Consider the following 12,067-nt stretch of genomic DNA (forward strand, 5'->3'; position numbering starts at 1 on the left):
CTCTGTGGACAGCTTGGCAGCCCCTTCTAGGCATTTTTCTTTCCAGGTGAAAGTTCTGTCAATCTTTTTTCCTCCCAGAGGGAGTCCTGCACAATTTATTGTTCATATATTGGGGACAGGTTTCCATGGCAAAACTCAATCTGATTCTTTTTTACTTTTTTTTTTTTTTTTGAGACAGAGTCTCGCTCTGTTACCCAGGTTGGAATGCAGTGCCATGATCTCGGCTCACTGCAACCTCCGCCTCCCAGGTTCAAGCAATTCTCCGGCCTCAGCCTCCTGAGTGGTTGGGATTACAGGCACCTGCCACCATGCCTGGCTATTTTTGTATTTTTAGTAGAGATGAGGTTTCACCGTGTTGGTCAGGCTGGTCTAGAACTCCTGATCTCAAGCAATCCACTCACCTCGGTCTCCCAAAGTGTTGGGATTAAAGGCGTGAGCCACCGCCCCTGGCCCTTTCTTACTTTTTAAATCAAGAACTGAAAACGACTTTATTTACTCTTCTTGGGACATGGCCACGCCCATGGAAGTCCCCAAAGTAGGCTGGACAGGCCACAGCAGCACCCGGAGCAGTGGTGGCAGCTCCTGTTGAGCTGCCCTCCAGAAGCCAGTTCTGATGCGCGGCCTCGCCGGGGGCCTGAGAACCCCTGTTTCCTGTGAGGCTGGGCCAGGGACAGGATAACAAGGGAGGCAGAAAAGAGTGCTGGCGGGGAGCCAGGAGGCCTGGGTTCCAGCCCCGGCCCTGCCGCTTGCCTGCTAGGAGCCCTTGAGAAAGTCAGTTCCCCTGCCTGAACCTCAGTCTCCTCACCTTCAGATGGAGATGCCGGCCCAGAGGGTACCAGAGGCCTTTCCTGGCTTGCAAACAGGATGCCAGTCCACAAAGCCACAGGGTGAGGGTGCTTCCCAGTTCTCTGTGCTTCGGAACAGCGTGCTGCTCCGGGGGACCTTGGAAAGGTGACTGGGCTCTTCTGGCGGTTTGGGGTGGGGGTTGTAGTTTGTGCTCCCGGATGTTTGCCCACGTGGGTGGAGCCTGCCTGTCTGTTGCCCCTTAGAGGGAAGTTGGCAGTAGGATGGGTTGGGGGGCCGTGGATGTTGGGAGGCCCTAAAGCTGAGCCCAGACTCTCAGGCTTGGGAAGGACCTTCCCGATCAGCCTTCTGTCCATGGCTTGAATTCCTGTCTTGTGGCATCAGGAAAGACTTATGTCTTTTAGGGTCCAACCAAGAAAGCAGAAAAACACTCAGGTGTTGCAGACAGAGGGCCTTCATACAGGGAGTTAGTCACACAGGTTATGGGAGAGCCGAGAAGCCGAAGAGGGTGTGATGAGTTAACCCAGAGATTAACAACTGCGAGAAACCACCACCGCCCCAGGATGGAGAAGCCAGGGAGGTGGTGGGGTTAGCAGATCCTGGGATCGGGGTCACCCAGTACCAGCCAGGGGCTTGTGGCAGAGAGCTGGAGCACAGAGGAGACATGGCTGCTGCCGCTGAGCTCACGAAGGAAGACAGGGAAGGGGAGGGATACCCAGCTTCTCTCATCACATGTGCCCCATCTTCAGTCTCCCCCAGTGCCTCGCTTTGGCAGAACTCGCTGAAAAACGCAGCCTGCAGGTATCAGCCCCCACCCTGCCCTGAACACAGAGAGGAACATATTTGAGGTCAGAGGCCCAGGACTGGCCCAGTGACTGTGTTTAAATGCTTCGGGCACTGGGGAGCTCACTCTCTAACTCTTAACTGTAGAGGTGGTGGCAACAGCCTGTTTTGCTGGCGGCTGAGCATGAGCATTTGGTTCAGAATAAGGAAGAAACATTGGTTTCCTGTGACTCCCTACAGAAAGATGAGGGGTTTGTCTTGGGAGCAGAAGCCCCCGTGTGTGTTGCTTTGTGCTGTCATGTCTGCCAGGAAGGCCCTTCCCGCCCTCCCATCGCTTGAGACCCAATTCTCCCAGAAAACCTTCCGGCACCTCCATGTCGAGGGATAGTACCGTCATGTCCGTCCACAGCACCTGCGCTTCCTTCTCTATTTAGCAGAATGTAGCGAACATTATGTTCAACGTGGACTTCTCTGTTTGTTCTGCCTCATTCATAGGGGGCATGGAGCTTGGAGAACCTGACGTTGCCTACCCAGAGCTGGCTCTAGGTTAAAGAGATGCTCACTAAGGCACCTATAGTGTGCCAGGTCTGCCAAATGTTTGGCATGCATTATCTAGTTTAATGCTCCCAACAACTCCGGAGGTTGGTATGATTAGCCCATGCCTGCTCAGCTGGAGAATCTGAGGCTCAAAAGGAGGGTGTCCAAGGCCACTTGGCTAGTAAGGGCAGAGCTAGGATTCGAACACAGCCTCTTAAAGGCCGCGTTCCTTAGCCACGGGGCCACGTGGTCTTGCCACAGTGCAGCTGGGCCCAGGGTGGGATTGTGTGAAGTCCCTCACTGGGAATGTTTCCAGCTCAGCTCCTGGTGCCTCCTCCCCTGTCCTCTGTCCAAGACCACATGTCAGCCCCTTGAAGGCGAGGCAGCCATTCCCACAGCCACTTCTCTATTCTGACATGACCAAGAAGCCTGGCTGGGACAGCAGGTCTGACCACAGATTGACAGATGTTTCCACATGTGGAAGTGAGGTTTGAGCCTCGATGTGCTGTTTCTGTGGTTCCCTTTTCACGCTTTCCTTGGGAGATGTGTCCAGACATGGTCTCATTGCCCTAATAGGTTTCCATGTCTGTTGTGCACAGTCTTTAGACTGTTTAACAATCCTGTTCACTGGTAGAGCACTGCCCAGCTTGCACACAGCACTTTCTTATGCATTGGCTCAGTGGCTCTTCCCAACAATCCTGGGACTTGGGTTCATTTACTGGATGGAGGCTCAGAGAGGCTAAGTAACAACAGTGACAACCATTAGTTGCCTTTTGCAGATCTGTCAGCATGCCTTGCTCAAAGAGAGACAGAAACTGCCCAGTGCACAGTGTCTCACTTGATCTTCACAATAGCCCTGCAAGGTAGATATTATTACAACCTCTCATTGGAAGTAGGGAAACTGAGGCTCAGAGAGAATAATTGACTTACCCAAGGTCACACAGCGTCAAATCCACACCTAGAACCCATCTCTTGGTCTTGACTCCTGGTTCAGTGTTCCAAGCAACTGTTGAGAACATCCATCAAACTTAAAAATATATATGACTATATTTCAACAAATCTATGACATCATTGAATATAGATACACCACTCTTTTATATACCCCAGGAAATAGAAATGCTGTCAGCTACAGTAAGACACAGTATTTCTCATCACATAGAATTTTTTTATTTTAGACTAATTAAAAGAGCTCTTTCATATCTGTATGCATCATATATATATAAGCATTATATATGCATATATATAATGCATCATATATGCATCATATATAAGCATATATATGCATATATATAATGCATCATATATATGCATCATATATATGCTTATATATGATGCATATATAAGCATATATATGCATATATAAGCATATATGCATATATATATGTATCTCTCTCAGTTGTCTGTACATAGAAGGAAAATTTATCTGAAAATAAACTTATATGACATGAAATGGATTTATGTGAAAATAAACTTCTTCATATTCAAAATCTAACTGAGTAACTGGGCGTGGTGGCTCATGCCTGTGTCCAGCACTTTGGGAGGTCAAGGCAGGTGGATCACTTGAGGCCAGGAGTTTGAGACCAGCTTGGGCAACATGGCGAAACTCTGTCTCTACAAAAAATACAAAAGTTAGCCAGGTGTGGTGGCAGAGGCTGTAGCCCCAGCTACTTGGGAGGCTGGGGCAGGAGAGTTGCTTGAACCCGGGAGGCGGAGGTTGCAGTGAGCCAAGATTGTGCCACTGCACTCCAGTCTGGGTGACAGAGTGAGACTCTGTCTTAAGAAAAAAAAAAAAAAAGACAAACTCTGAGTGAGCAGTAGAAGCCCAGCTCTTTCCCATAAGATTGTTCTCCGCACCAGCAAATGCTGGCGATGAAGATTTCTCCCTCTCTCTTCAAAAATATGTTAGAGAGGAAAAGCGTGTTTACATATAACAAAGTACATAAATTATAAGTACACTTGATGAATTTTTATCCACGTTAATATTCATCTAGACTCACCAGTGCGTTGGAGCTGGCTCACATTAGCATTGTTAAACACTCAGGAATTTTGCAAACTGGTTTTTAAATTGTTGGTCACTTAAAATCAGCTGCGGGCCAGGCGCAGTGGCTCACACCTGTAATTCCAACACTTTGGGAGGCCAAGGCAGGAGGACTGCTTGAGCCCAGGAGCTTGAGACCAGCCTGGGCAACATAGGGAGACCCTGTCTCTACAAAAATATATATATTTTTAAATTAGCCAGATGTGGTGGTGTGTGCCTGTTAAGTTCCAGTTACTTGGGAGGATTGCTTGAGCCCAGGAGATTGAGGCTGCAGTAGGCTATGATGGAGCTGCTGCACTCCAGCCTGTGTGACAGAGCGAGACGCCGTCTCAAAAAACAAAAACAAAAACCAAACCCTAGCTGCAATGGGAGTATTTTACATCATGGAAATTGGCAAATGCTACATAATCCAGGGCTGTTTTTTTCCCTTCAGAGGTCTGGTTTACTGGCCCACCACTGAGTGTAGCTACTACCCAGATGGGGAGAGCTTCCCAGCATCCTAGAAGCCTCCTTTGTGGCTGTCCCAGCCCCTTTCCACCAAGGGAACAACTACTGGATGCGGCATTTCCTAGAGGTGGCTGAGGGCCACTGGCGCTGGGCTCCTGCGAGGGGTTTGCCATTGTGCGGGGCTGGCCCACTTTCGACGCCCATGGGAGGAATGCTGCTAAACACGTCCGATTTACCACCTCCTCCATCCCGTACCCACAGCCATTTGGTTCCTAGAGGTTAAAAGAACACTCCTCTATTGTCTCCAGGGTTTCCTTCCAAGCCGCAGAATCCCATTGTCGATGTGACGGTGTAAGCGGGCTGTGACCACTCCCTGGAGAGGGCCTCCTGCCAACAATTACTGTAAGACACACCCCTATTTCAGAGACACTAAAATGTGAAAAATCAAGCCTCTTAGAGTCACCAAAATACAGTATATTGCCTTTTGAAGATCTTTACTGAAGCAGTTTCCTCTGAGAAGCAGCTTGTCTCCATCATTAAGCCCCGGAAAGCAGATGAGACTGCAGTTCCTCCGGGCTAGCTGTCTCAGTGGTCACTTCGCCCCCAGACAGGTAGCTTCTGCCCACTTCTCTCATGGGGCAGCCAAGTGTTACTACCTCTGGCCCCGGCCTGGAATAAGAGGACCAGCAGGCCGTGGGAAACCTCAGCTCTAATACCAGGCTGCTTCTGGACAGTCCTTTCTGGGTGTGGATAAAGACCAGGCTTGTGCCCTCTGGGGACCGTTCAAAGCAGTCTTCAGGGTCGGACCTCAGACTCATCCCTGTGATGATTGTTTCAGGTCCTAGCGAGTTACTTTCCCAACCTGTGAGCTTCTGCAACTGTGTTTTTTTGTTTTTTGTTATTGTTGTTTGTTTGTTTTAATATTTTTTTCTTTTCTTTTTTTTTTGAGACAGAGTCTTGCTCTGTTGCCCAGGCTGGAGTGCAGTGGTGCGATCTCGGCTCACTGCAACCTCCACCTCCTGGGTTCAAGCGATTCTTCTGCCTCAGCCTCGCGAGTAGCTGGGATTACAGACGTGTGCCACCACACCAGCTAATCTTTGTATTTTTAGTAGAGACAGGGTTTCGCCATGTTGCCCAGACTAGTCTCAAACTCCTGACCTCAAGTGATCCACCCACCTCGACCTCCCAAAGTGTTGGGACTACAGGGGTGAGCCACTGTGCCTGGCCATGCAACTGTGTTTTAATCACCTTTGTGTTCCCAAGGCCCTGACATGGAACAAGCACCCAGTAAGTATTTGAATGAATGAGCAAATGAAAGGCCAGGAAGGGAGAGCCTTTATTTTGAAGCCTGCCCGCCGGGCTGCCCTTGGGAAAGCCACTTTCTGCAAAAGTCACAGGAGCAAATGAGACAAAGATGCAAAATTGCTCTGCCTGAGCTGTGAGGGCTTAACTGTGAATGTCTTTAGGTGACCTTCTTGGAGACCTCAAGACCACCCCTCTGTGACTTGGTTCAGGCTGCCCTGCTGTGATGCCTGCTGGGGCCAAGGCCTGGATCCCTGGGTGGGGTGGGGTGGGGTGGGGCGGGGCGGGGAGGGGCGGGGCGGGGCGGGGCAGGAGTGGCAGCAGGAAGGATCCGGCTGAGACTTGCCCTGGGGGGCCAGGGAAGGAGGGTGGCAGGAGGCAGAATCCACAAATGAAGTAGATCTGGAGCCAGGCAGATCAGCCCTTAGATATAATCTCAGAAGGGGTTGGGAGAATGGAAGGATTTTGTTGAGGATGGAGTGAGAGGGTTGGAGGGTTGGGTATGTTCCTGAGCATATTTCCCTGTCTATGGGGCCATTCAGAGAGAAGCCCACGTGCTCCAGGCCAGTGGTGGAGCCTTCAACGTGGAGCTGGAAGACCTGGGCTCGAGTCCCACCTCTGCCATGTCCCATCCTCCCTCATGACTCCCAGTAGTTACCGCCTTCTCTGGGCCTCAGTTTCCCCAACTGGAAATTAAAGAAAATTACCCTGTTCCTGCATCAGATGGTTGGTTGTGGATATCACTGAAATCTCCTCACGTGGTATTGAGCCGCTGCTCTTGGCCAGACACAGAGCAATTTACATGAAATGATTTTCGAAGTCTGGTCCGGGGACCAGCAGTGTCAGCATCACTTGGGAACTTTGTCAGAAATGCAAATTATCGGGCTCCACCCCAACTACTCTAGACCCAAAAACAATTTTTATTTTTATTTTTATTTACTTTTTAGGATGGAGTCTTGCTCTGTCACCCAGGCTGGACTGCAGTGGTGCAATCTCAGCTCACTGAAACCTCTGCCTCCTGGGTTCAAGCGATTCTCCTGCCTCAGCCTCCTGAATAGCTGGGATTACAGGCATGCACCACGACGCCCAGCTAAATTTTTTTATTTTTAGAAGAGGCAGGGTTTCACCATGTTGGCCAGGTGGTCTCGCACTCCTAACCTCAGGTGATCCACCTGTCTCGGCCTCCAAAAGTGCTGGGATTACAGGCGTGAGCCACAGCGCCCTGCCCCAAGGACAATTTTTAAATGATATAATTCATATCCCATAAAATTAACCCTTTAAAGTGTGCAGTGTGGTGGCTTTTAGTATTATCCACCAGGTCATACAACCTATTATCACTAATTCCAGAATATTTTCATTGCTCTCAAAAGAAACCTTGTACCATTTAGCAGTGACTCCCCACTCCCCTGTCCCTCAGCCCCTGCAATCACAAACCTACTTTTCATCTCTATGGATTTGCCTATTCTGGACACTTCATATAAATGGAATCATAGAATATGTGGTCTTTTCTTTCACTTAGCATAATGTCTTCAAGGTTCATCCATATTGTAATATGTATTAGTACATGTTGTACTGATGGAACATGTATGTTGTAGCATGTTTCACCCTTTTAAAAAATCTTCTTTTTAAATTAAAAACATTTTTAAAATACATTCAAAGATTTTTTTAGAGTCGTTTTAGTTTCACAGCAAAATTGGGAGGCAGGTATGGAGATTTCCCTATGTTCCCTGCCCCCACAACATACGCAGCCTCCCATCATTAACATCCCCCACCAGAATGGAACAATTTTAACAACCGATGAACTGACATTGACACATCATTATCACTGCAAATCCATAGTTTACTTTGGGGTTCACTGTTAATGTAGTACATTCTATGGGTTTGGACAAGCGTATAATGACACGTATCTGTCATGATGGTATCATACAAAGTATTTTCACTGCCATAAAAATCCTCTGTGTGCCACCTATTTCTTCCTCCCATCCCCCTAATCCCCGGCAACCACTGATCTTTCTACCATCTCCACAGTTTTGCCTTTTCCAGAATGTCATTCTCTTAGTCCATTTTCTGCTGCTATAACAAAATACCACAGACTGGGTAATTTATAAAGAAAAGAGACTTACTAGGCTCGTGGTTGGGGAAATCCAAGGTTGAGGGGTTGCATCTGGTGAGGGCCTTCTTGCTGTGTCATAACACGGCAGAGGGCAAGCGAGCTCACGGAACAGAGAGAGGAACTCAGACTGAACTCATCTGTTTATCAGGAGCCCACTCCTGCGATAACTAACCCCCTCCCCTAATAATGGTATTAATCCATTCAAGAGAGCAGAGCTCTCATGGCCTAATCACCTCTTTTTTGTTTGTTTGTTTTTGTTTTCAGACAGGGTCTCACTCTGTTGCTTAGGCTGGAGTGCAGTGGCACAACCATAGCTCATTGCAGCCTTGACCTCGCAGGCTCAAGTGATCCTCCTACCTCAGGCTCCCAAGTAGTTGAAACTATAGGCATGTACCACCATGCTTGGCTAATTTTGAAATTTTTTTAGAGATGAGGGCTTGCTATGTTTCCTAGGCTAGTCTTGAACTCCTGGACTCAAGTGATCCTTCTGCCTCAGCCTCCCAAAGTGCTGGGATTACAGGTGTGAGGCATTGCGCCTGGCCCTAATCACATCCTAAAGGTCTTGTCTCTCCACGCTGTTACAATGGCAACGAAATTTCAACATAAGTTTTGGAAAAGACATTCAAGCCATAGCATTCCACCTCTGGCCCACCAAAACTCTTGTCTTCCTTGCATACAAAATAACATTCATCCCATTCCAATAGCCCCAAAGTTTTAACTCATTCCAGCACCGACTCAAAAGACTGAAGTCCAGAGTCTCATCTAAATCAGATATGGATGAGACTCAAAGCATGACTCATGCTGTGGCAAATTCCTTCCAGTTGTGAGTCTGCAAAATCAAAACAAGTTATCTACTTCCAAAATACAATAGTGGGACAGGCATAGGATAGATGTTCCCATTCCGAAAGGGAGCAACAGGAAAGGAGAAAGGAGTAACAGGCCCCAAAGAAGTGCAAAACCCAAAAGGGAAAACAAGATTAAGTCTTAAAGCTGGAGAACAATCTCCTTTGACTCCACGACCAGCCACCTGGGCACACTGGGCAGCCCTGCCTCTACGGCTTTGCTAGGCTCAGCCCACACAATTTTCACAGGTTGGGATCTCATGCCTGCAGCTTTCCCAGGCTGCCATCACTCACTGGCAGCTCAACAGTTCTGTGGTCTGGAGAGTGGCCCCACTTCCACGGCTGCAGTAGGCATTGCCCTAGTGAGGACTCTGTGCAGTGCCTCTGATCCCACACTTCCACTCGGCATTTACCTAATAGGGCTTTCTGTCATGGCTTTGCCCCTGTGGCAGGTTTCTGCCTGGGCCCCCTTTTAAATCTAGTTGAAGGTAGCCATGCCCCCACAGCTCTTGCATTCTGTGAGCTTGCAGACCTAACACCATGTGGATGCTGCTAAAGTTTAAAGCTTGTACCTCCTGGAGCAGCAGGTTGAGCTGCACCTGGGACCACTTAAGCCACAGCCAGGGAAGTCAAGAGGTGCTGCACTGGAATGATGGGGGCAGAGTCCTGAGATGGCTCTGGGCAGTGAGCCTGTGGAGGATGTCCCAGGCATGTTCCCTGAAACCATTCTGCTCTCCTAGAGCTCTGGGCCCGTAATAAGAGAAACAGCCCGGAAGAGCTCTGAAATGTCTTTGGAGTCTTTCCTCCAAAGGAATAACACCTGGCTTTCTTCTATCTAGCCTGATCTTTTAAGTAAATGGTTGCTTGGCCACACCCTTAGTATTCTTTTCCGAATGTTATTGCTTTTCACTCTTTAGGAGGCCAGGCTGTGAGTTTTCCTTTGCTTCTCTTTTAATTATAAATTCTGTCTTTAAGTCATTCCTTTCCTTTTGCATCTCACTGTATGTGGTTAAAAGGAGCCATGCAGCAACCTGAATGCTCTGCTGCTTAGCTGTTTCTTCCATCAGATATCCCCGTTCATTGCTCTTCAGTCCTGCACTCTATAAAGCCCTTAGACATAAACACAGTTCAGCCAAAGTCTTTGCTACTTTGTAACAAAGATGGCCTTTCCTCTTAGTTTCCAATACCTTGTTCCTCATTTCTGTCTGAGACCTCATTAGAATGGCCTTTACTGTTCATATTTCTACGGACATTCTGGTCATGACCACTTAAATAATCTTCAAGAAGATTTAGGCTGTCCTTAGTTCTAGGGCCTTCTTTTGAGCCCTCAGCAAAATTGCTCTTAATGCTCCATTCACAGGAATCTAGGCTTTTTCTAGCCTGCTCCTACAAACTCTTCCAGCTTCTATCCATTACCCAGTTCCAAAGCAGCTTCTACATGTTCAAGTATTTGTCATGGCAACAGCTCCTCTTCTGTGCACCAATTTTCTGTTGCTATAACACAATACCACAGGCTGGGTAATTTTACGTATATATAGAATATATATATAGAATATATAGAAAAAATATATATGTATGTATTTTATATAATAATACTGAGCATTGACTCATGGTTCTACAGGCTGGGAAGTCCAAGGTTGAGGAACTGCATCTGGTGAGGACCTTCTTGCTGTGCCATAACATGGCAGAAGGGCCAAGAGAAAGAGAACAGAAATCAGGCTGAACTCATTCTTTTTATCAGGAGCCTACTTCCTAGATAACTAACCAACTGTCACAATAACAGCATTAATCCATTCATGAGGGCAGAGCTCTCATAACCTAATCACCTTTTAAAGGTCTTGCCTCTCAACAGTTACTATGGCAACTAAACTTCAACATCAGTTTTTTGAGGGGACTTTCAAACAATAGCAGTCATATATTGGAATCACACAGTATGTAGCCTTTTCTGATTGGCTTCTTTCACTTAGTAATATGGATTTAAGTTTCCTCCATTCTTTTCATGGCTTGATAGCTCATTTCTTTTTAGTGCTGAATAATAGTTCATTGTCTGGATGTACCACAGTTAATCCATTTACCTGCTGAAGGACATCCTGGTTTCTTCTTTTGGCAGCATGAAAAAAGCTGCTATAAACATCTGTGTGCAGATTTTTGTGTGAACATAAGTTTTCAACTCTTTTCTGTAAATACCATGGAGTGTGATTGCTCAATCATATGGTAAAAGTATGTTTAGCTTTATAGAATGACAATTTACCTTTCAAAGTGACTGTACTATGTGCTAAGTGGGTGTACTATTTTACATTTACGTTTACAACAATGAAGGAAAGTTCCTGTTGCTCCATATCCTCCTCAGTGTTTGGTGCTGTTTGTATTCTGTATTTTGGCCATTCTAATAGATATGTAGTATCCCGTTATTTTAGTTTTCATTCCCTTGATAACATGTGATGTAGAGTATCTTTTCTTATGCTTATTTGACATCTGTATATCTTTTTTGGTGAGGTGTCTATTAAGGTACATGGCCCATTTTTTAATTGGGTTGTTTTTTTTCTTATTGAGAGCTTTAAGAGTTCTTTGTATATTTTGGACAACTGTCTCTTATCAAACATGTCTTTTGCAAATATTTTCTCCCAGTTTGTTGCATGTCTGGTTATTCCCTTGACATTGGCTTTCACAAAACAGAAGTTTAAAAAATTTTTTTAATGAATTCCAGCTCATTCATTGTTTATTTCAGCAATAATGCTTTCGGTGTTATACCTGACAAGTCATCACCATACCTAAGGTCATCTAGACTTTTTCCTATGTTGTCTTCTCAAGAGTTTTACAGTTTTGCATTTTTAATTTAGATTTATGAGGTACTTTGAGTTAACTTTTGTGGAATGTATAATGTCTGTGTCTAAATTCAGTTTTTTTGGTATATGGATGTCCAGTTATTCATATTTTTTAAAAGATGGATTTTTGCATGATATTTTGAAAAGACTGTCTTTGCTCTATTGCATTGTCTTTGCTTCTTTGTCAAAGATTAGTTGACTACATTTATGTGGGCCTATGTTGGGCTCTCTATTCTGTTTATTAATCTACTTGTTTATTCTTTTGCCAATACCACACTGTCTTGATTAGTATAGCTTTAAGTCTTGAAGATTACTATAGCTTTAAGTCTTGAAGACTACTATAGCTAGTAAGTCTTGAAGTCAGGTAGTGTCTGTC

General features: G+C 46.3%; 1 annotated feature.

Annotated features, from left to right (window-relative positions):
* Window positions 570-629: an enhancer, noted in NCBI's record as "active region_406". NCBI's record gives its function as "activates an Ori minimal core promoter by ATAC-STARR-seq in GM12878 lymphoblastoid cells {active_cell/tissue: GM12878}" and the evidence as "EXISTENCE:reporter gene assay evidence [ECO:0000049][PMID:35858748]".

The sequence above is a fragment of the Homo sapiens genome, chromosome 1 (assembly GCF_000001405.40).
Source record: "Homo sapiens chromosome 1, GRCh38.p14 Primary Assembly".
Classification (NCBI taxonomy): Eukaryota; Metazoa; Chordata; class Mammalia; order Primates; family Hominidae; genus Homo; species Homo sapiens.